At 38.9% G+C, this 25,675-nt stretch overlaps 1 protein-coding gene across 2 annotated transcripts in view; it reads left to right on the top strand.

Annotated features, from left to right (window-relative positions):
• The window catches only part of DCDC2 (doublecortin domain containing 2), a 211,538-nt gene that overhangs the window by 163,417 nt on the left and 22,446 nt on the right, over positions 1 to 25,675 (top strand). For both annotated transcript variants that reach the window (NM_001195610.2, NM_016356.5), the window contains one exon: positions 14,774 to 14,874. In NM_001195610.2, the coding sequence (NP_001182539.1) occupies positions 14,774 to 14,874 (101 nt within the window). The remainder of the gene's footprint in view (positions 1 to 14,773; positions 14,875 to 25,675) is intronic.

Raw genomic sequence — 25,675 nt, 5'->3', positions numbered from 1 at the left:
TGTACTCCTTCACCCCTTGTTCAGATGCTGACCTAACACGCTTGCTTGGTAACCACAAACACACACATATTGCACCCATGTCTTCTCATGAGCCTGCTCCAGTTTTTCATTGAACTTCACTTACAAAGCACACAAGTTCAAGGATAAAATGATTAAGAATTTTAACGTGGTTGGTGATAGTGGAGCATTAAATCAATGGGTAGGGCCCTTCAGAGCAGGGCCCTGTGTGACCGCACAGGTCGTATACCCACACAGCCAACCCGGGTACTGCATTTGATTTTCTGTTGTCTTCTATTTTATTAAAAATAACCCCACTAGTTGCACCCCGTTAAACTGATGTTACCATCTACTAATGGGTCATGGTTGGCAGATTAGAAAACACTGGTAAATTCATGAAACGCATGGACTGTGTGTCAGGCTGCTGTATTAGAGTCCTGCTTCTACCACTTGCTGCCTGTGAACTTGAAAATATCTCCGTTTCTCGTGTAAAATGCAGGTTCTAGTAGTTCATAAAGTTGTTATGGGAACTAAATTATTAAATACATGTAATATGCTTAAAGTGGTGTTCATTATACAATAAATATCCTCTAAGTATTAATCATCATCATCATTATTAACTTATATCTTGCTGTAGGTAAATGTTGAATAAAAAAATGTTTCTTGACTATATCAGCATTCCCACTTATCCTAAAACAGATATTTTCTTAAGTTTACCAACATCTGCGTTTTCTTGTGTCTGGAAGTATATAAAATATAACAACAAAATAAAAGTTAATTCAACTGCACTTAATACAATGGAAATATTTTAAAAATTATAGTTCAATAAGAAATCCAATAAAAGACTACTTTTATTTCTGTTCCTCCTCCCAGATTAAAACAAGTAGATCATTAGTATTTCATAGTTATCAGTTAAGAAAGAAGCAAGGATATCTGGAAGATACCATCTGTTGAACTTAAGAAGCCAGAATTATTCCTTTTCAAATGAAATTATTTGATGAACCCCAATCATAGGTTAAAATGCTTGAGAGGAATATTTTCTATCTTTTCTTTTTTTCCCCAAAGGTTTATTTTTATTTATTTTTAAAATAGGCCGGATGCAGTAGCTCAGGCCTTAATCCCGGCACTTTGGGAGGTTGAGGTAAGCAGATTACTCGAGCCCAGGAGTTCAGGACCAGCCTGGGCAATGTAGGGAGACCTCATCTCTACAAAAAGCAAAAGAAATTAGTCAGGTGTGATGATGCATGCCCGTAGTCCCAGCTATTCAGGAGGCTGAGGTGGGAGGATGGAGGCAGGAGGTCAAGACTGCAGTGAGCTATGACTGTGCCACTGCACTCAAGCCCTGGTGACAGAGTGAGACCCTGTATCAGAAAAAAAGCAAAACAAAACTGACAGATAAAATGGTATGTATTTTATCTTTTCTAAAATACAGCATACATACATTTTTATTATAGATAGAGAACAAATCTACAAGTCATGACATGAAAAGAACACAGAATCTGGTGGATGCTCAATCAATATCTGTTGTTGGAGCAACCTTAATCCAAGTGAAAAAAATGCTGGCTGGTTTGTTTTGATCTATTTTGAATCTTCTTCCTTGATAATTTTGTAATAAATAGTACTATTTTATGGCTCATTTGAATATTTCCTATCATTAATTGAGGCTACTGAGATCTCTTTTCCCATTGATTTGATATTTCATGTTTGATTCTCTCAAATTGGGCACTAAATTAACATATAGTCATTTTGTATCTGAGTACAAAAGTTGTGTTTGTGTCAATTGCTGATATAGGCATATTTGTGTTAGGTCATCATCTTAAAATGGAGTCCAATAGAATTGCTTAAAAGGGCTTATGTTAGGCTGTTTAAATAAAATTTGGAACATGATAGATATTGCAGGGAAATGTATCTTACGGAAAATTTGTTTTTATCTGCCTTTTATTGGCAGCAGTTCCTTGAATTGCAGACTTTATGCATAGTCAGAACAGATATGCTAAACTGAGTACATTATAACTTCTATTTTATGTTAAGATGGAAGATTAACCACCAGTTAAAGTTATTATATCTTGAGCAAGGTATCGACTCTGATAAAAATTTATCATCCTCTTCAAACATTACTATGGAGCAAATATAAACACCTTAAATGCTAAGATTCAAGAGATCTCACTTTGTTTAAAGCAAGTCAAAGCACATTAATCTGTAAAATTCTAGAACAGTTAAATTGAAAACACCCTCACTCAGATTTAATGAGCAATTCAGGCCTATTACCTGTGCCAATTTAGATTAGGTGAAAAAAATCCAATCCCTTTATTCAGGATGACTGATTTGCACTGATTTGCACATTTACACCGTAAACCACTTTACCTTGAGTGAGAACCACAGTTTACAGAATCACTAGCACTTGTCTGAGAGTTAGATTGGCTTTGAAAGTGGTTGATACTTGCTTTATACTTATAGTAGAAACATATTATTGGTAGTAGTTGAAAGTGAATGTTGGAGCCTTGGATTATTAGAGATGTTACTCGGTAATAATTGGGATCAATAACTTTTGAAAACACATATCCAGTCCATTTTGATTTTCATATTTGAGCTAGGTATTTAATCCTTTAAGTATATATTTATATATAATTTGGAAGTAAATATTTAGAGAATGATTTCAGTCTTCTATCTTAGGTTTATCAACTGAAGATAGATTTAGAAAATTCACAATCCTGATTTCTCTTTGGCTATTTTTTTTTTAAGATTCTTTGTATGAATTTTTAGGAAGCCTTCTGAAGCTAAGGAGTTTTTTATGTCTCTGTCTGAAATGATTGTTAGTGATTATAGTAAATTGAATGCTTTCATTCAGGCGTGCAAGTAGAAGGTATCTTGTTGCCTGGATGTGTGCTGCTCTGCAGGTTTCTCACTTTCTTCTACTTCCTCGCAGCCCCTGACCTCCTGCAATGGATTTCTATGTTGTAACTTGTTTTGGTATTTTAGCTAAGGTTCAAACTCTAATAAATATCTGCATAGCAAGAATGGTATATTCATGAAGTACAATTCTGGTTACATTGATATTGTCAAATGAAGATGATCTCTATCGGTTTAACTTGGCCATGAGTGAATGGGAATTGTTTAAATTTCTGTACAAATGTTTGCATTTCATGAGACATGCTTGTGCATTAGAGACAGAGGTTTAGCAAAAGCTTTATGGTGCTGACATCTGTGATAAAGGCAGGAGTCAGAAGAGATGGGATTTAATCCCCTTTCATCCCTGACTGTCTTGATGGCCTCAGGCCTCTGAATTAGGTTGACAAGACTATGGTCTCTCTTTACTTCACAGCCAATCATCTTGAAAGAGTCGTCTGTACTGCTTGTCTTCACTAATTCACCTCTTTTCTTATACCACAACCCCGTGTAATCTGATTTTCATACTGTACTATAATTACTGTTACTTAGGTGACCAGATCAAGGGGATCCCCAAATGGCGGGACACTTTAATACTGATTATTCCTTTGGTGTTGACTTCCACTTTCCCGCATCTTCCTTGACAGCCTACTCTTTTTTTTTTCCTGTTACCTTTTACTATTTCTTTTCGATCTTTGTGAGTTTCTCTTCTGCCCATCCCTTAAATGTTGTTTCCTAGAACTCTGTCCCTAACCATTTTCTATTTTCACCCCAAGTTCTGAAACCCATGACTTTATCAATGGTATTCTGACTGTTCCCAAGTCTACATCTTTATCTTGGAACTTTATTCTAATTAACAGACTTACATTTCTAGCCACTTGCTGGACATTTCTATCAGTATGCTTAACAGGAGGCCCAAACCAATATATCAAAATCAGACCCCATCACCTCCTTTCTAACCACCCCCATCCCCTTCCTTCTGTCGTCTGGCCAGTCTTGATGAATAACACTGTTAACGATGTAGACAACCAAGCCATAAACCTGAGAGTCCTTCTTCAGCTCTTCTGTTTCCCTCAACTCTCACATCCTGGCAGTCACGGAGTCCTGCCAATACAAGTATTCAATGTCTCTTGTTGCATTCTGTTAATCCTGGCATTGCCTTCATCCAGGACCTGCGGTGTGCAGAGCAGTGCTGAGATTCCACCAAGCAGTGCCGCCCCCTCAGCCGGGAGTGGTGCTGATGCAGACTCCTATGCTTCGGAGCGTCCTGACCCATCATGGCATGCTTTGTTTCCCATTTCATTGCTTTGAAATCTCCTGGCTACCAGCCTCACTGATCTCCAATTTTAATATGTATTGCCTTTGGTGGCTTCAGTCTGACCCAGTTTCAGGCATTCTTTTCTACAGTCTTGCCTGGTCTCACTCTGCCATGATATCTCCACCTCAGCAATATCAGTCCTAGGTGGCTGTGGGTGATAACACTTTCCATGATCTCCCCCTCCACACAGCCTGTCATGAATCTTCACCTGCTTCTGTCCAGGCAACTCTGTTTCCAGGACGCTCCCTCAGCCCCATGCACCCCACTCCATGCTTAAAGTCCCTTAGTTGCTCTTCATTATCTTCATGATCAAGTTCAAATTCTTGGTCACATCAGACAGCCTTATACCCAGCCACTCCTTATCCCTACAGCCTTGCTGCAGCCACACGGATCTGCCTGCAGTTCTTGGAATACAACCTGCAATGCCTCCAAGCCTTTGCATATGCTGATTCTTCTGTCCAGAGTGCCTTCCTTTGCTCCTTAATGACTAATTTGTCTTGTCTTTTGATTTGTAGCTTCCGTCTCTCACAGCCTTCTTTGTTCTCCTCTCCCCATTTTTTTTCTTTCCTACTTTATGCACTGTCTTAACAGCTTACATAGACTTGCATGCTATGCGTATTCTGTGCAGTTGATTTTTCCATGTGACCCCCCGGTAGATAATACGTATCCTGAGGTCAGTGCCTTGTTCATCTTTCTGTGGCTGGTGTCTAGCACATGTGGGAGCATGAGGAAGCTCAGTAAACATTGCATAATAAGGAAGTAGTGAACACAGAATTTTAAAGGAATTTAAAACAGTACTATGTGTTTTTGTTACAGGCAGATACTTCATTTGTTATGATGATAAATCTAGCGTATAGAAGTATGGCTAACTCTTCTGATACAAGGTCATTTGGAGGAAGTTGGACTAACCAGAATTAAGAAGAGAAATTGTCAATTTTAGGCCAAATAAGTAACTGCAAGTCACTGGGGTGGAAAAAGGAACAATTCAATTATTCTGATGAACTAAAACTAATTTGCAGTGTAATTTTTATAAGGATGCAAAATTAGAAATGAAGAATTAAAGCTATATATACACTTGTTGGTTTAGGTAAACCTACTCAGAGGTACTTAATTATTTTCAGTCCCACTTATCAGATATAGACTTTAGAAATTGTATCATAATTTATATAGGTTAGGAAATAAGCATTATTATACATATTGTAAATAATGTGCTTTATTCTTTGTACTCTGAATATTTCTGATTTTCATGAGAATCTGAAATATCTGTATCTAAAAATAACAGAAGTGTAGGAATAAGAACAAAATTACCTGTGATCTGGGAAATCAATGATAATAATCCTACTTTTGTTTTCTGTCTACACTTAGAATATTTTGCTACACCTATTTAAAGTTAAGGTTAAATAACTGTGGTGATTAAAATCAATTCTATGCAAACAGTTAATAGTCAAATGTATACATCAATTGCATAACAGATGAGATTTAATACCCTGAAATGGGAGTTGGAGAATAGAAAGAAGCCAAATATTTCAAACTACAGTTAAGAATACTTAGCCCATATAAATGTGCGGATAAAATTATTTTTATGTGTTATTAAAAATTGCCAGAGAAAAATATGACTTGTGATATTCTTGTTTCTGTAAAGAGCTTCCATTTGAGCTGATGGGACATAATAAGACATGTGGAGAAGATTAGTGATTAAAAAAATTTGGACATTTGGGTTGTATCATTGTATTCAATTAGAGGCACTCAGAACATTAGCTCTCATTTGATTAGTTTTTCAGTCTTCCTTATGATGATTTTTTTATATTTAATCCAGAAAGGTGATGCAAAGAGGGGTATTATATAAGTTGTGACAGGGATCCCAGGAGAGTTGGCTAATACCCTTTCATAAGGAAGTGTTATTACATGTGAACCTGCCCTTCCTCTCTACCTCATTACTTGCTAAGCTTCATAAAGACCCTATCCTACTGGGTCACCTTTCTGGAAATGCTTTCTTTAATTTTCAACAAGATGCTGTGATGACAACAATCTATATCTGTAAAAAGTTGTATAAAAATTCAATATATTTCACATGTGAATGTAGTTCACATCAGACTAAGCTAATGAAAATTATTTTTATATCACCTTCTTACCAATTTTAATTTTAATTTTGCCTCTGGTGACTGAGGTGACACATAAAGAGTATTGCCTTATAAATGGATTGACTTTTTTTTCTTCTTAGGATATTATTTTATATATTGAATGTCATAAACTCCTTGTTCCCCACATTTTTTGCCAGTACCATGCTGGTTTTAAAGAGCTACTTTTAAAAATTAACACTTTGTTTTAAAGTTCATTCAACATTTTTATTATGATAGGCAGTCTTAGTGATAAATCGTAGTAAAAGAGCTTCTAGTTAATAGATAACTAAGATTTTTATAAAGTATTTAGAACTGGACATTATGATATTAGTTTTCTTCTTACTCATCCTCATAAATCTCAATCAGTTTCAAACACTAAATATATTAAAATATGGATTATGATACCATTTAAGAATAGTTTTTAGTAATTTTGGTGAGAAAGCAAGAATGGTAGGCTTAAATTCTGATTATCTTTACTTGAAAGTATCATTAATTATTGGGTAACTTTTAAAATTTGAGAATGTTAAATAATTGTAATATTGTTAAACTGAAGTACTGATAAATTGAAACAAGGAAATGCTTTCATTTCAGCTGTCCTAGTTGCAGAAAAGCTAAAAACACACAAAGCATTTATTTCATGTTTCAGTAGGGGAAGCAGATTCCTATTTATTATGAACAGTACAGTGGTGATATGACTTCCCTACCTCAGCAGCTCTGCTTTCATTTTGTAAGCAATAAAATTCATAAGGGATAAGTGAAAAATAATTGAGGAGCACTTTTATTTTTACTAGAGTGTTTGTTATGGCTTTACCGTGTAATATACACTAAAATGTCTGTTCACGTTCAAAGAAAAAAAGATGAGAGCTGAATTTGGGTGTAGTGTGCATTCAAGCATTGAATTTGATCCTTCACGTAGTAATTGAATGAGAGCAGTATTGTGTATCAAATTTATCCTTGCTTTTTAGTTTGTTAGCAAATGGCTTTTACTACAAAGGTTTTTAGGGCAGGGTAAGACTTAAAAAAATAGAATCACTTTCCTCTGGAAGATGTGTGGGTGTCTGGGGTTGGTGGTAGTGTTTTGCACCTGGTAGGAGAATGAGAAAGAGAAGTATTTACAGTTAGGGAAAGAAAACAAAAGGCAGGAGGCTCAAAGGAGGGTTTTCTGACCACTGTCTTTTTGGCAGGAGGAGCAGAGGGTATCTGAAAGGCCTGTTTTTGCCCAGCAGGTATCTGCAGGACTCAGAAAGTGGATCTGTGGTGGCCACTGCAGATGTTCTTTCCAGAAGAACGCTTCCCAACATTTATTGCACCAGGGACCAGTTTTGTGGAAGGCAGTTTATTCAGGGGCGTCGGGGGATGGTTCCAGGATGAAACTGTTCCACCTCAGATCATGAGACATTAGTTAGACTCTCGTAAGGAGCGTGCACCCTAGATCCCTTGCATGTGCAGTTCACAATACGGTTTGTGCTCCTATGAGAATCTAATGCTGCTGCTGATCTGATGGGAGGGTGGAGCTCAGGTGGCAATTCTCACTCACCTGCCGCTCACCTCCTGCTGTACAGCCCAGTTCCTAACAGGCCACAGACCACTTCCAGTCCGTGGCCCTGGGAGTTGGGGACCCCTCCTCATGCACATAATTTCTAGACACATGTTGTATCATTTTCCTATGGCTGTTGTGACAAATCACCGCAAACATGGTGCCTTAAAACAACACAGATTTATTATCTTACAGTTCTGGAGGTCAGAATTCCAAAATGGGCCTTACTGGGTTACAACCAAGCTGTCATCAGGTCTGTGTTCCTTCTGGAGGCTCTAGGCAAGGATTCATGTCCATGGTTTTTCCAGTTTCTACAGGCTGCCTGCATTCCTTGACTTGTGGCCTTTCCATCTTCAAAGCCAGCAAGGGTGGCTCAAGTCTTGTTTGCACTGTATCAGTCCCACTCTGGGCCTCCTTCCTCTTTTTCACTCACAAGGACCCTTGTGATTATATTGAGTTCACATGAATAAGCCACAATTCTCTTCCCATCTCAAGGTCAGCTGCTTAGCAACCTTAATTCCATCTGCAACCGTAATTCCTCTTTGCCATGTCATGTAACATGCTCACAGTTTCTTACGATCAGGATGTGGACATCTTGGGGGTGGGGGGCATTATTCTACCTACCACCAATAACGTAATTTGTTGATCCCTTTGTAGGTTGTACCTCAATCTGTCTTCTTTCTCGTCAGTTCCCTTTGTTCTCCTCTCTACCCTCCATCCAAATGCTATACTGCCAAGTGTAGCCAGATTGGGGCAACACCCTGTAAGAACATGAAGAATTAATGCACTGGGCTAGTGGCTAAGTTGTTGGCTCCTTACATTCTACTTCAATACAGCAAATATGTTTTAGTGCTGGGGATGGAACAGTGAAAAATACGGACAAACTGCCTGATCTCTTGGAGCTTACACTTTGGTGGAAACTGACAAACACAGTAAGTGCAAGGCAGAGAATTAAACCAGGGCACTATGAATGAATGAGTGGCTACTGGAATTGGAACAAGGAGGGTTTCCTGAGATCTGGCTGACGGTGTGAAAATGGGGAAAGAACTTTTTAGGCAGAGACTCTGTGAAGAACAAAGCCATGAGGCAGGAGAGAGTTTTCTAGTGAGAAACAGAATGAAGGTCAGTGGAGCTTGAGTTTAATGTGCAAGGAAAAAGATACGAAATGCAGTTTGAGGAGGAGTTAAGTGCCAGATCACATCTCTGTAAGCCATAGTAAGGAACTTGGATTGTATATGTGATGGAACAATGTTGGAGAGTTTCTAAGCTGTGGAATTAAACACTTTTTAAATGATCTATTAAGAGCACTTGGCTATTGTATGGAGGATGATTATGAGCTAGCAAGAGTGGAAGAAGAGGGACACTAGTTTGTAAGCTGTTTTAACAGCCCATCCAACAGATAATGGTGATGAGACCAAGTTGGGAGTGGAGATAGAAATAAATGAATATATTTGAGATACATTTTAAAAGGAGATTGAATTGAGAAGATTGACAATGGAATGGATATAGAAACTGAGGCCAGGAGGAAATAAAGATAATTCCCAGATTTTGGGATTGAGAAGTGGTGCCATTTCCTGGGTTGGGGAATCTGGGGGATGAGCAGTTTAGGGTGGGGAACCAGAGTTGTGTTTTGACCATGTTAAGGTTGAGGTGCCTATTGGACATCCAAGGTGAAGTGTCAAGTTAGACAGTTAGATAGATATATATGTTTTGGGATCTATAAAGAGGTCAAGGCTGAATATACGTATTAGAGAATCACTGGCACATTGATGGTACTCAAATGAGATTAATCTAGAAAGTGTGTAGATAGAGAACCTGATCCACAATGCAGCTCTGAGGTGGGCCAATATTTAGAAGTTGAACAGAGGAGGATGGATTGGCCAAGGAGACTTAGGAGAAACTTCTGGTAAAACCAGGAGGGTGAAGACAGACAGGCAGGCAGGCAGACAGACAGACAGACAGACACACACACACACACACACACACACACACACACACCCTGATACTGCTGCATTAAAAGCTGCTAAAAGATCAAGTAAATGAGATAATAAATATTGTAATGATGGTCATTGATAATTTTGACAAGAATAATCTCTCTGGGGTGCTGTTATAGAAGATAGATTAGAAAGAGCTGGGGAAAGTGTGGGGGTGAGGATGAGACCGTGACTCTAGACAGCTAAGCACCAGGTGCTCTGCATTCTGAGATGATGCGCCATCCCATTATTACTTTTCCCAAGAGCTCACTTTTACTACCTAGAGAAGAGTTACTTTTATATGATACACAGGCATTCTGTTATTATACTTGCTGTGCCCAATTAGTTTTAGAGGAAGCAAAATTGCTAAAACTCAAGACGTTTCATGAGCAGTTGAAAATTATACTAATGCTCAGTAAAAGGGGACTCAGAACTCCTGAATGTGTGCAGAACTATTATTGGCACACTAAAAAGTTCACAGGTGGGCAGTGTGTGGCAAAAAGGATCACTTACCTGTTGACATTAGTATGTAGTAACACTAAGTTCCTGTTTTTATGAAAATCCCAAGTGACACTAAAACTGCTTCTGTGTCTCATTGGGGACAAAACACCTCAGCCCTAGTTGTCACTCACCCTTCATGAGTCGTGGTAGAATAGCTGATGTTGCTGTAGCAATAACTAGACAACCATGGCACATAATAACGCTGTCATGGTCTAAATCCACAAATTTACTGTGCAAGTTTAAATTAGTAGTAATAAAGGGAATATGGTAAGGTTTTGAAGTGCTCAAATAATGTTGCCCTTGATAAAAAGGGTAATACTTTTGGAAATTTCTCATGGAATCTATACTTGCAAGCAGGTGTTTTAAATTTTCAATGTTTTATCTTTGACTTTGTCCATGAAATGTGTCTTCAGTTGCTTTTTACGATGGCATCGACAGAGGGGAAACATATTCTTATTATATCATTCGGATTCTTTTCCATTGTATTTTGGCCTTGTTGGCAATTCTTTGGCATCAAATGATTTTAATTTTCTAATTTAAGGCCTAATTTACTTTTGAACACTCACATTGGCCCACGGATCTTGGCCCTGGATGAAGTGTATATGAATACAGATTGTATTACAAATAATACTTGCAGACAATGCCAAAAATTTGGTGTTTATATAATGCTTTGTATTGTTAGTTCAGTTTAAAGAACATGTCAAAACCTGTTAGGAGGCTGACATTGTGCTAGGCACAGGACAAAAATTGTGGTCTATGCCTAAAGGAGCTTGTGGTCTAGCAGGGAAGGGGGCAGAATTGGTAAAAGAAATTGATTAAAGTAAGTGTGATCATGAATAAACGCAGTATGTGGGAGGAAAAAGTAGTGCAGAGGGGCTGAGCACAGTGGCTCATGCCTGTAATCCCAGCACTTTGGGAGGCTGAGGAGGGTGGATCACCTGAGGTTGGAGTTCGAGACCAGCCTAACCACCATGGAGAAACGCTTGTCTCTACTAAAAATACAAAATTAGCCAGGTGTGGTGGCACATGCCTGTAATCCCAGCTACTTGGGAGGCTGAGGCAGGAGAATGGTGTGAACCTGGGAGGCGGAGCTTGCGGTGAGCGGAGATTGCGCCACTGCACTCCAGCCTGGGCAACAGAGTGAGACTCCATCTCAAAAAAAAAAAAAAAAAAAAAAAAAGTAGCACAGAGGAGGGAGCTGTTGGTTCTGTTTTGTTGTGGGGTTACAGGATAAGATCAGAGGAGATTTTCATGAAACATTGACAGCTGAGTAAGATTTGAGCCATGAGTAAGTCTGCTGTTGGGCCACCACCCAGGGACAGGGTAGAAGTGGCAAACTAGACATGGAAGGCATAGGGTGAGACATGAAAAAGCATAGCGGGTCCGTGACCTGCAGGTTCTTTGGTCCTAACTGCACATGGGCTGTGACTGAAATCGCTCCATTTGATGAAAATGATCGAAATCAAGGTGAAATTGAGGGGATGTCAATGGAGTTGAAGAGTCAGGGTATTTAAGGGTGTAGAGTGGCTCATCACATGGTGTTGAAGTTACTCAGATGGTGACATACAGGGTTGGTTAGATTTCCTTTAAAATGAAGTAGAAGAAGCATTCAAAGAAGAGGCCAAGGATTCTTTTGAATTAATTGTATCAAAATCAGGATGCCCATGAGATAATTTTGGAAGAGAGAATTTAATACTGAGCAGGGTGGGTGAGGACACGTGGGTGTAGGGGGTGTATACAGCAGGAGGGGAATCAACGTGTGAGAAAGAGATTAAACCGGGGCTTGTCTTTTGTCTTACATCTAATAAATATTAACTGAGGACTTACTCTTTGCAGTGCACCATGCTTATTCTTGGAAAACAAACTCCTAAGATAGGAAAGGAGCTACAGGGTATGAATGTGGAAGAGTAAACATCGCATGTCTCTGTGATGGTCTCCATGGGATACAAAACCCTCACCAGCAGCGCTTTCATATTTTCCAGAGTGACTATTATGCAGTAGATCTTAGTGCATATTTACCCATCAATCAGATGAATAGTATCTATTCATTAAAAATTCCTATTTTGCACTATTCATTATTGTCCATTAATTAAAGCATGGTACTGCAACATGCAGCTATTTATTATGTTTTCAAGTAACATTTAGTGACATGAGAAATGCTCATGATATGGTTTTAAAGAAATGATTTTAAAAATTATATGTACAATAAGATCCCAGTTTTACGAGTGCATGTGTCTGTGTGTGTGTGTGTGTCTGAGAGAGAGAGAGAGAGAGAGAGAGAGAGAGAAAGATAGATGGAGTGAGGGAGGGAAGGAAAGAATTGTCAAAATATTAGTGATGGCTGTCTCTGGGTCATGAGATTAAACATATTTATTTTTTCACCTTCCAAGTTTTCTAAAATGCATATAAACAATTTATAATCAAAAATACTATTTAAAATAGTTTTCTCGAAAAATTAATATTCTGCCTTTAATTTTATATAATGTTTATGGTAAAAATGAAAATTCTAGTAGGCCTATCACAAAGGCCTTTCTAGCTGTTCTGCCTTTTTTTGATCACTGTTTATTCTTATGAATTCCTTTCTGATCTTCATTTCTTGCTCTGTGCTGTTAATGGCAATGGCTTAAACATTTTGGTTCACTGATAAACACATCCTCCCTCCACACCTGAGGCAACCATTTAAAAAAAGTATTTATATTCTCTTTGTGTCACTGTGCACAGCGTTGAGCTTTGCTGATTTGTCTCTTTGCTGTTTATATCCTTATGGTTGTCATTTTCCATTCCAGTGCCCTTTCAATTTTATTTTATTTGTTGTTATCGATTGTATTCTTCTTTTCTGGTAAAATGCTTATTCTAAAACACATCTGCAAACCATTCGTAGCTCCGCTTGGATACAGTTAAACATTTCATTGAATGTGAGTATTAAGACTGTATTCCTTTTGTATCTATAGGCCTGCCTTTGTAGTCTCTTAGTAAGCAAGTGCAACATTTGGACACAAAATGTCATCCAAAAAGTCATGTGCATAGGTCATAACTGTAGTCTACTGAGTTTAGCATCTGACTATGATGGTTGTTTTTCAAGGTAATTTCAGAAGGTAGAAATGAATGTCAAACATACCTATTTTTCTTCACTCTTTTCCTCCCTTCCTGTTTCCTTCCTTCCTTCTTTCCTTCATTCCTTCCTCACTGGGCTGTATATTTTCAGCTTCCATAATACTCTGCTATTGCCCTTCCTCATCATTCACCTTATTGGAAGTATGTTTATCTCTGTCTCCTCATTGGACTGGAAGCAACTTGAGAGAACAGTCCACATTTCATTCATATCTTAGGCTGTCTCCTGGGTTCACATCCTGCCTTGCATATAATTGGTCCTCAACAAGTGTAAAAATATATTTTACATTTAATTAAGAGTGACTTCATAGCTTTAGCAATACGAAAGATTATTAGATAAAATAGGTTAAATAATTATGCTCTGGGAAATAAGCTTCCATTAGAGAAATAAAGGGGGTTTTAAGGCAAAAGATAAAAATATATTTTCTAGACTGTAGGGGTAATCAAATATTGTAATAGATTACCAGAGAAGGAGGTAAAATCGCCATCCCTGGAGAGCCTTAAAAATTGGACAGAGAAAACATCTGTGAGAATGGCCAAAGCACTAAACCTGTCTTGAGGCAAGTAGATGGACAGAATGACAAATGGTTCTGCAATTCTTTGATTACTTGGCCTGAAGAAGAGAAGGCTGAGGGGAGACATTAAAACTACTTCAAATATGAAAAACAGCTATTATTGCTTTCCAGAGGAAAGCAAGTTGAAGGAGCTTAACCTAAAGTCAGAGATTGAGTTTACATTTGATAGTTAAGGATTTAAAGTCATAGGTTGTGAAAATCTTGTGGAGATCTGCAGAATAAATGATACTGATTTTTTGGTGAGATATGGAAAGTCAACTCTATGATTTGGCTGCAGTAAAAACATTTTTTATAATACTCTGAATAGAGAGAATTATTCCAATACGTTATATTGAATGCATAGCATTCTCTTGGGAAAGGTAAATTTCTAAAAGTAGTATTTTAAAGCAGCAAGCATTTTCACTGTTTTGTGAATAGGAGGGGAGAACTGGGATGATACTTGTGAATTTCTTCTCATCTCAATGCCTGTACAAAGGGCTATGTTAGTAAATCAGTAGCCAAAGGGTGAACAGGAGCTTCGACAGAACTTTACCCTGCTGGGTCAGCCTTGTTTTGACCACTGAATGTTTTCTCAATGAAAATGTGGAACAACTGGGGGTGGTGTGGTGGTCGGAGGAGGGGGTGCACAAAAATACTATCAACTAAAAAGGGAATCCAAATGTCTATTAAAAATAAGCATTTGATTGTAATTCCAGCATTCAGCCACACGATGTCACAATTGGATTTTGATTTTCACTGTGTGTTTGTCTCAATAGATGAAGGCATTTTCAAAGCTGGAGCAGAGAGGTCTGAAACACGGGGGGCAGCAGAAGTCCAAGAAGATGAAGATACTCAGGTTGAGGTTCCAGTCGATCAGGTAATCTCCATGCCTTAAAAAATATGTGTAAGACAATTATAGTGTTTTTTTTCCAAGTTTTGTGTTATCTCCTACAAATTGTTCCTATACCTGTATGAATTAAACCCTCTAAGGTACTATGTGGCTGATCAACCTTAAAAACATAACAAAACACCATTCTTTCTCCTAGTATTCCTGTGAAGAATAGCCATTTAGACCAAGTCTTTTTAAATAACAGCAAATGGTATTTCCTTAATAAAGAGCATTGAAGAGCAAGATGGGATGGGATTAGGTATGAGATAAAGTGATAAAGTTTGATATAAAAAAGAGTATTGGTTTGGGATTTTCATCTGGAATAAAAGTACTTACCCACTTAGAAAAGCATTTTTAAAAAATTATACTTTAAGTTCTGGCATACATGTGCAGAACGTGCAGGTTTGTTACAGAGGTGCCATGGTGGTTTGCTGCACTCATCAACCCATCATTTACATTAGGCATTTCTCCTAATGCTGTCCCTCCCCTAGCTCCCCAAACCCTGACAGGCCCCAGTGTATGATGTTCACCTCTCTGTGTCCATGTGTTTTCATTGTTCAGCTCCCACTTATGAGTGAGAATGTGTAGTGTTTGGTTTTCTGTTCCTGTGTTAGTTTGCTGAGAATGATGGTTTCCAGCTTCATTCATGTCCCTGCAAAAGACACGAACACATCCTTTTTTATGGCTGCATAGTATTCCGTGGTGTATATGTTCCATATTTTCTTTATCCAGTCTATCATTGATGGGCATTTGGGTTGGTTCCAAGTCTTTGCTATTGTGAATAGCGCTGCAGTACACATAAGTGTGCATGTGTCTTTATAGTAGATTGGTTTACTATCCTTCAGGTATATACCCAGTAATGAGATTGCTGGGTCAAAGGGTATTTCTGGCTCTAGATCCTTGAGGTATCGCCACATTGTCTTCCACAATGTTGAACTAATTTACACTCCCACCAACAGTGTAAAAGTGTTGCTATTTCTCCACATCCTCTCCAGCATCTGTTGCCTCCTGACTTATTAATGATTGCCATTCTAAGTGGCATGAGATGGTATCGCATTGTAGTTTTGATTTACATTTTTCTAATGACCAGTGATGATGAGCGTTTTTTCTTATGTTTGTTGGCTGCATAAGTGTCTTCTTTTGAGAAGTGTCTGCTCATATCCTTTGCCCACTTTTTGATGGGTTTGTTTGTTTTTTTTCTTGTAAATTTTTTTAAGTTCCTTGTAGATTCTGAATATTAGCCCTGTCAGATGAATAGATTGCAAAAATCTTCTCCCATTCTGTAGGTTGCCTGTTCACTCTGATGATAGTTTCTTTTGCTGTGCAGAAGCTCTTCAGTTTAATTAGATCCCATTTGTCAATTTCGGCTTTTGTTGCCATTGCTTTTGGTGTTTTATTCATATGAAGTCTTTTCCCATGCCTATGTCCTGAATGGTATTGCCTAGGTTTTCTTCTAGGGTTTTTATGGTTTTAGGTCTTACATTTAAGTCTTTAATCCATCTTAAGTTAATTTTTCTATAAGATGTAAGAAAGGGGTCCAGTTCCAGTTTTCTGCATGTGGCTAGCCAGTTTTCCCAACGCCATTTATTACATAGGGAATCCTTTCCCCATTGCTTGTTTTTGTCAGGTTTGTCAAAGATCAGATGGTTGTAGATGTGCGATGTTATTTCTGAGAACTCTGTGCTGCTCAGTTGGTCTATATATCTGTTTTGGTACCAGCATCATGCTGTTTTGGTTACTGTAGCCTTGTAGTATAGTTTGAAGTCAGGTAGCATGATGCCTCCAGCTTTGTTCCTTTTGCTTAGAATTGTCTTGGCTATATGGGCTCTTTTTTGGTCCCATATGAACTTTAAAGTAGTTTTTTCCAATTTTGTGAAGAAAGTCAATGGTAGCTTGATGGGGATAGCATTGAATCTATACCTTACTTTGGGCAGTATGGCCATTTTCACAATATCAATTCTTCCTATCCACAAGAATGGAATGTTTTTCCATTTGTTTGTGTCCTCTCTTATTTGCTTGGGCAGTGGTTTGTCCTTCCCCTTGAAGAGGGCCTTCACATCTCTTGTAAGTTGTATTCCTAGGTATTTTATTCTCTTTGTAGCAATTGTGAATGGGAGTTCACTCATGATTTGGCTCTCTGTTTGTCTATTACTGGTGTATAGGAATGCTTGTGATTTTTGCACACTGATTTTGTATCCTGAGACTTTGCTGAAGTTACTTATCAGCTTAAGGAGATTTTGGGCTGAGATCTTGGAGTTTTCTAGATATACAATCATGTCATCCACAAAGACAGACAATTTGACTTCCTCTCTTCCTATTTCTATTTGAATACCCTTTCTTTCTCTTGCCTGATTGCCCTGGCCAGAACTTCTAATACTATGTTAAATAGGAGTGATTAGAGATGGCATCCTTGATCTGTGCCAGTTTTCAAAGGGAATGCTTCCAGCTTTTGCCCATTCAGTATGATATTGGCTGTGGGTTTGTCATAAATAGCTCTTACTATTTTGAGATATATTCCATCAATACCTTATTTATTGAGAATTTTTAGCATGAAAGAGTGTTGAATTTTATCAAAGGCCTTTTCTGCATCTATTGAGATAATCATGTGGTTTTTGTCATTGGTTCTGTTTATGTGATGGATTACGTTTATTGATTTGTGTATGTTGAACCAGGCTTCCATCCCAGGGATGAAGCCGACTTGATCGTGGCTGATAAGCTTTTTGATGTGCTTCTGGATTCGGTTTGCCAGTATTTTATTGAGGATTTTGGTGTCAATATTCATCAGGTATATTGGCCTGAAATGTTCTTCTGTTGTGTCTCTGCCAGGTTTTGGTATCAGGATGATGCTGGCCTCATAAAATGAATTAGGGAGGAGTCCTTCTTTTTCTATTGTTTGGAATAGCTTCAGAAGGAATGGTACCAGCTCCTTTTTATATGTCTGGTAGAATTCAGCTGTGAATCTGCCTGGTTCTGGGCTTTTTTTTTGGCTGGCAGGCTATTACTGCCTCAATTTCAGAATTTATCATCGGTCTATTCAGGGATTTGGCTTCCTGGTTTAGTCTTGGGAGGGTGTATGTGTCCATGAATTTATCCATTTCTTCTAGATTTTCTAGTTTATTTGCATAGAGGTGTTCATAGTATTCTCTGATGGTAATTTGTATTTCTGTGGGATCAGTGGTGATCTCCCCTTTATCTATTTTTATTGCATCTATTTGATTCTTCTCTCTTATTAGTCTGGCTAGTGGTCTATTTTGTTAATCTTTTCAAAAAACCAGCTCCTGGATGCATTGATTTTTTGAAGGGTTTTTCGTGTCTCTATCTACTTCAGTTCTGCTTGGATCTTAGTTATTTCTTGTCTTCTGCTAGCTTTTGAATCTGTTTGCTCTTGCTTCTCTAGTTCTTTTAATTGTGATGTTAGGATATAGATTTTAGATCTTTTCTGCTTTCTCCTGTGGGCATTTAGTGCTACAAATTTCCCTCTAAACACTGCTTTAGCTGTGTCTCAGAGATTCTGGTACATTGTGTGTTTGTTCTCATTGGTTTCAAATTGCTTATTTATTTCTGCCTTCATTTCGTTATGTACCAGTAGTCATTCAGGAGCAGGTTGTTCAGTTTCCATGTACTTGTGTGGTTTTTCATGAGTTCCTTAATTCTGAGTTCTAATTTGATTGTACTATGGTGTGAGAGACTGTTGATTATGATTTCCATTATTTTGCATTTGCTGAGGAGTGTTTTACTTCCAATTAAGTGGTCAATTTTAGAATAAGTGTGATGTGGTGCTGAGAAGAATGTATATTCTGTTGATTTGGGGTGGTGGATTCTGTTGATGTCTATTAGGTCTGCTTGGTTGAGCTGAGTTCAAGTCCTGAATATCCTTGTTAATGTTCTGTCTCGTTGATCTGTCTTATATTGATAGCGGGGTGTTAAAGTCTCCCACTAATTTTGTGTGGGAGTCTAAGTCTTTTTGTGGGTCCCTAAAAACTTGCTTTATGAATCTTGGTGCTCCTGTATTGGGTTCATATATATTTAGGATAGCTGTTCTTGTTGAATTGATCCCTTTACAATTATGTAATGGCCTTCTTTGTCTTTTTTGTTCTTTGTTGGCTTAAAGTCTATTTTATCAGAGACTAGGATTGCAACCCCTGGTTTTTTTTTTTCTTTTTTTCTTTCCATTTGCTTGGTAAATATTCCTCCATCCCTTTATTTTGAGCCTATGTGTGTCTTTGCACATGAGATGAGTCTCCTGAATACAGCACACCGATGGGTCTTGACTCTTTATCCAATTGGCAGTCTGTGTCTTTTAATTGGGGCGTTTAGCCCGTTTACATTTAAGGTTAATATTGTTATGTGTGAATTTTATCCTGTCATTATGATGCTAGCTGGTTATTTTGCCCGTTAGTTTCTTCTTAGTGTCGATGGTCTTTACAATTTGGTATGTTTTTCAGTGGCTGGTACTGGTTTTTCTTTCCCATATTTAGTGCTTCCTTCAGGACCTCTTGTAAGGCAGGCTTGGTGGTGACAAAAGTCTCTCAGGATTTACTCGCCTGTAAAGGATTTTATTTCTCCTTCGCTTATGAAGCTTAGTTTGCCTGGATATGAAAATCTGGGTTGAAAATTCTTTTCTTTAAGAATGTTGAATATTGGCCCCCACTCTTCTGGCTTGTAGGGTTTCTGCAGAGAGATTCACTGCTGGTCTGATGGACTTCCCGTTGTGGATCACCCCACCTTTCTCTCTGGCTGCCCTTAACATTTTTTCCTTCATTTCAACCTTGGTGAATCTGACAATTATGTGTCTTGGGGTTACTCTTTTTGAGGATCATCTTTGTGGTGTTCTCTGTATTTCCTGAATTTGAATGTTGGCTTGCCTTGCTAGTTTGGGGAGGTTCTGCTGGATAACATCCTGAAGAGTGTTTTCTAACTTGGTTTCATTCTCCCTATCACTTTTAGGGACTCCAATCAGTTGTAGGTTTGGTCTTTTCACATAGTCCCATATTTTCTGGAGGCTTTGTTCCTTTTCATTATTTTTTCTCTAATCTTGTCTTCACGCTTTATTTCAGTAAGTTGACCTTCAATCTCTGATATCCTTTCTTCCACTTGATCATTTCAGCTATTGATACTTGCGTATGTTTCACGAAGTTCTTTTGCTGTGTTTTTCAGCTCCATCAGGTCATTTATGTTCTTATCCAAACTGGCTATTCTAGTTAGCAATTCCTCTAACCTTTTTTCAAGCTTATTAGCTTCCTTGCATTGGGTTAGAACATGCTCCTTTAGCTTGGAGGAGTTTGTTATTACCCACCTTCTGAAGCCTGCTTCTGTCAATTCATCAAACTCATTCTCCATCCAGTTTTGTTCCCTTGCTGGTGAGGAGTTGTGATCCTTTGGAGGAGAAAAGGCTTTCTGGTTTTTGGAATTTTCAGCCTTTTTTACTGGTTTATTGTCATCTTTGTGGATTTATCTACCTTTGGTCTTTGATGTTGCTGACCTTCTGATGGGGTTTTTGTGTGGATGTCCTTTTTGTTGGTGTTGATGTTATTCCTTTCTGTTTGTTAGTTTTTCTTGTAACAGTCAGGCCCCTCTGCTGCAGGTCTGCTGGAGTTTGCTGGAGGTCCACCCCAGACTCTGTTTGCCTGGGTATCACCAGCAGAGGCTGCAGAACAGCAAAGATTGCTGCCTGTTCCTTCCTCTGGAAGCTTTGTCCCAAAGGGGCACCCACCAGATGCCAACCAGAGCTCTCCTGTTATGAGGTGTCTGTTGACCCATCCTGTGAATTTTCTCCCAGTCAGGAGGCACAGGGGTCAGGGACCCACTTCAGGAGGCAGTCCATCCCTTAGCAGAGCTCGAGCGCTGTTCTGGGAGATCCACTGCTCTCTTCAGAGCCAGCAGGCAGGAATGTTTAAGTCTGCTGAAGTTGTGCCCACAGCCGCTGCTTCCCGCAGGTGCTCTGTCCCAGGGAGATGGGAGTTTTATCTATGAGCCCCTGACTGGAGCTGCTGCCTCTCTTTCTGAGATGCCCTACCCAGAGAGGAGGAATCTAGAGAGGCAGTCTGGCTCCAGTGGCTTTGAGGAGCTACAGTGGGCTCCACCCAGTTCGAAGCTCCCCGTGGCTTCGTTTACACTGTGAGGGGAAAACCACCTACTCAAGCCTTAGTAATGGCAGACATCCCTCCCCCCACCAAGCTTGAGTGTCCCAGGTCGACTTCAGACTGCTGTGCTTGCAGTGAGAATTTCAAGCCAGTAGATCTTAGCTTGCTGGGGCTCCATGGGGGTGGGATCCACTGAGCTAGACCACTTGGCTCCCTGGCTTCAGCCCCCTTTCCAGGGGAGTGAACGGTTCATTCTCACTGGCATTCCAGGCACCACTGGGGTATGAAAAAAAAAAAACTGTAGCTAGCTTGGTGTCTGCCCAAAATGGCTGCCCAGTTTTGTGCTTGAAACCCAGGGCCTTGGTGGTGTAGGCACCTGAGGGAATCTCCTGGTCTGCGGGTCACAAAGACTGTGGGGAAAATGTAGCATCCGGGCTGGAATGCACCATTCCTCGTGACACAGTCCCTCAGGGCTTCCCTTGGCTAGGGGAGTGAGTTCCCCAACCCCTTGTGCTTCCTGAGTGAGGCAGTGCCCCCCACCCTGCTTCAGCTCGCCTTCTGTGGGCTGCACCCACTGTCTAACCAGTCCCAATGAGATGAGCCGGGTACCTCAGTTGGGAATGCAGAAATCACTGGCCTTCTGTGTTGATCTCACTGGGAGCTGCAAACCAGAGCTGTTCCTATTTGGCCATCTTCAGAAAAGCATTTTTTTAAAATGCCAGTATATTCTTGCCTTTAGGGTCCTTGAGATTGTTTTGGTTGGAATTTGTTTTTCATAAAGGAATTGCCTGTATAAATGTAAGTCAAATATTTGCTTTGTGTGTATTGATTTTCTTTCTTAGGCCAGTAGAACACTGTACTTCTAGGAGTTGTGTGTGTGTGTGAGTATATACGTACTCACATGTGCTTATAGAATGGACTAAGTAGTGTTAATTTTCTCTAAATGATGGAAGAAATAAAAGTCAGCTATGCTTTTTAATATAATACATCAAGCTTCCTTACAATTCTAAGTGGAGGATTGGAGTTTAGGTGAGGAGGGGGAAATGATAATCCCAGACTCAGGAAAGGGGAGAAGTCACTAGGAACTACCACTTGTCCTCTGACTACTATATGATATTTTTTTTCTAAAAGCAGATTTCACCATCTGACAAATTCCATAGATGATCTTCTCAATTGTATTTGTCTTAACAGTGCAGCAGTGAAATTGCTGCTTGATGATTCCACAGGCATTTTCTGCAAGTGTCGTCTTCCTGATGAAAAGCCTAACGTGGTAAAAATCACGCAGATTTCAAAAATCCAATTTATTATCCAGGATTAGCTATAACTAATAATTTTTCATAAACTCCAGTTATAGGTATTTTTTCCTGAGGGAAAGTGAAACTTTAAGTCTTCTGTGAAGCCATAATTAAATAGTATATTTTAAGACAAAGAAGAGTGATCATCATGTATATACAACACCTGATAGCTGCAGAAACCAAGACTAATTTATATTCCAAAGTCAAAATGTCAAATATTAAGAGAAAATCATAGCCTTATTAGCAAAGGAGAAATCTCTCTGTTAATCACTTATTTAACAACTTGCAAATCTGTGAGATATTTCTTTACTTTGACATTCGATGATCCTCAGGAAGGGGAGTTGGGAGGGAAAATTGATCTCTGATAATGCTCGAACAGCCTTGGATGCATCTGCAGGGCTTGATTTCTTATTTAACTTGTGAGTGCTAGCTTATCAAAATGCAGGTATGCAGGAGATACTGAGAAACAGATTGGTAAAAGCTGGGCAATATCAACAAATTGGTATGTGCTTGAAGAAACCAAAGCCAGGTAACCAAAGGTACTTTCTTCTTGGACTCTCTTGGTCATAACATTGGGATTGCCTAGTTTATTTGTTCGATACGAGGTGCTTATGAAGTCAGGTTACAGCCATTCTCTATGGTCTGCTGACGTTTACATCCTAAGCAGCTATATTATAAATATGGAAAACTAAAAGTGTGGAGAAATTCGTTGAAAGCCCATTAGTTTCATTATAGTAAGACCAACTCTGCAACAGCCCACAATGGTGATCTGCATTAAACAATAGCTACCATTGATTAAGTAACTACTGAGTGCCAGGCACTGGACTAAGGATTTTTATTTCTTTCGTTTAATTATGAAAACAACCCTGTCAGATAGGTCTTATTGGAGCTGGGTGTGGTAGCTCATGCCTGTAATCCCAGCATTCTGGGAGGCTGAGGTGGTCTGGATCACCTAAAGTCAGGAGTGTTCGAGACCAGCCTGGCCAACACGGTGAAACCTGGTCTCTACTGAAAATACAAAAAATTAACCAGGTGTGGTGACAGGCACCTGTAATTCCAGATAATCGGGAGGCTGAGGCATGAGAACTGCTGGAATCTGGGAGGCGGAGGTTGCAGTGAGCAGAGATCATGCCACCTCACTGTAGTGTGGGTGACACAGCGAGACTCTGTCTCAAAAAAGAAACTGGATAAGTCTTATCAGTCTTATTCTATCTACCTACTTATCTATCTACCTATCTATAAATACACAAAGGAAGTGAGCTCATGAGGTGAAATTATTTGCTCAAGGCTGTACCATGTTAATTAGAGGAAATGGGACTTAAATGCTGTCTATCCAACTTAAAGGCAGACAAGTGATCTGAGGAGAGAGTATTGCATAAAAAAAAAAAGCCAATTATTAACCCAGAAAGGAAAAAAAAAATCCTAATTAAGAAAGGAAATATAGTCATGGTATACTACTTGTCTTAGCTAGAAAAGATACTTAAATACACTCTCTCTAAGGCCATTAGCTAGTTAATGTCTTTGGACTGTTTTCCTGTCATCTAAATGATCTGTGTTGTAATTTTAGTCAGAGGGCCTTGAAGAAGGAAGTTGTATGTGCCTGTGTGTGTGTATATGTCTATATGTAAGTATCTTGTGCAAATTGGCCAAGTTATTTATCCATTCTTGAGAAGCAGATTAAGTTTTAGAAGTCTTTGCTTTCATTGGGAGGCAATTCTCCATGGGTCTGTTGTGATTCTGCCCATCTTGTGAGCAGAGGCACTGCTGGCCTTTGTTCTGGACCATCTCTTTAGGTATGTTTGTATAGTGAATGGCCTTGGAAGACAGAGAGAGTGATGTCTTCCAGAACAATCATTCTCAACTTGTGGTGATTTTGCCTCCAAAGGGATATATGGTGATTTCTGGGACCACTTTTGGTGTAACAACTGGGGGAGTGCTATGGGCATCTAGAAGGTGGTGGCCAGGGCTGCTCCTAATTATCTTGTAATGCACATGACAGTCTTCACAACAAAAAATTCTGCAGCCCAGAATGTCAGTAGAGCTGAGATTGGGAAACTCTGTTCTGGGACAAAGGCTGGGTTTCTTTATTGTCCAGTATGATAAAGACAATGTCTCCCTATGGTGCAAAGGTCAGGCAAGTTTACTTCCCATTGTGAAAGATTTAATCCCATTGATTTGTACACTTAAGAGTGGTTAAAATGGTAAATTTTATGTAATATGTATTTTACTATAATAACAATATTTGAAAAAAAGAGTTTGGGTTCCCTAAGCTTGAGGTTCTTCTCCTAAAATGCAAACTAATGTGTGCATAACTAGCCCCCTTCTCATTGTGGGAATTGGGTCTTGGGTGCAAATGCTATTTTGGCTACTGCTATTGCGTGAGCAATAAAGTCCTTTGTCACTGACTCATTGGTCTCATGTTTCCTGCCAGCACCCATGAAACTGTGGCATGCTAACTTGTCTCTTGCTAGCAGAGTGCAGCTTCAGACCTTCCATAGTCCTTGATAGCCTCTCCTGGTACCATCTAGCATGCATGTTTGTGTGTGCACATACAGGGGTATTTGCATGTGTATGTTACGCATTGTGGACTAATTCCAGCTAAGAAAGAGTCTGAGCTCTGCCCCAAGGTCCAGACTCTTTTCATTAGTTACAGACAAATTAATGATGATGGACCTGGTAGTACTTCCAAACCCATGGAAAGACAGAAGAATGTTCACATTCTTGCATGCATTTAGGGAGGCCAGAACAAACGTGTTTTCTCAGAGGTGAGTTTAGGTCTAATAAGCCTAAGATACTCTTTCAAAACTAACCTGTTTTGTGTATGCATGTTCCAAGTCAATCTGGGGTTGGCTGTCAGCAGTGGAACAAGTGCCTGATTAGCAGATGCCTGTGATTGCTCTGGCACTGATGACCCTATGTCAATACGCCCCATTTATATGATGGTGCTTTTCCAAGCTAAGGAAGTAAGAAATGAGTCTGCTCCATTTTAATTAAGTAAACTGCCCCTAGTAATAAAGGATCAGGCAAGAGAATTCACCATCTCAGAAACACAGACCAGTAACTATGAAATAACCAAATACACAATTGTATTTTTAGAGTTTGTTTAATTTGACAGAACCGAGTGGAAGATGGAGATAGTAACTTTGGAGTGATTTTGGTTTGTTTTATTGCTTTTCCTATTTGTAGTTGATTTTGACTAATAAAATAATGAGAATTGAAAAATGTTTTTATGCTAAGTAGTTTCATTAAATAGCATTTAACCCAGCATCATGAACATTAAAACAGTAAAATAATTTTTTTAAACTGGAGGTTGTGATATATACTATTTTCTTATTTATTTAAAATTTATTTTTAATCAGAATTGTACAAGTTTTTAAAAGTCAATCAGTTCAACAAAGATTGTAACAAAAT

Source organism: Homo sapiens, chromosome 6 (assembly GCF_000001405.40).
Source record: "Homo sapiens chromosome 6, GRCh38.p14 Primary Assembly".
In the NCBI taxonomy this organism is placed as follows: domain Eukaryota; kingdom Metazoa; phylum Chordata; class Mammalia; order Primates; family Hominidae; genus Homo; species Homo sapiens.
The sequence above is the reverse complement of the archived record's forward strand: the minus strand, read 5'-3'. Positions and strand labels throughout refer to the sequence as shown.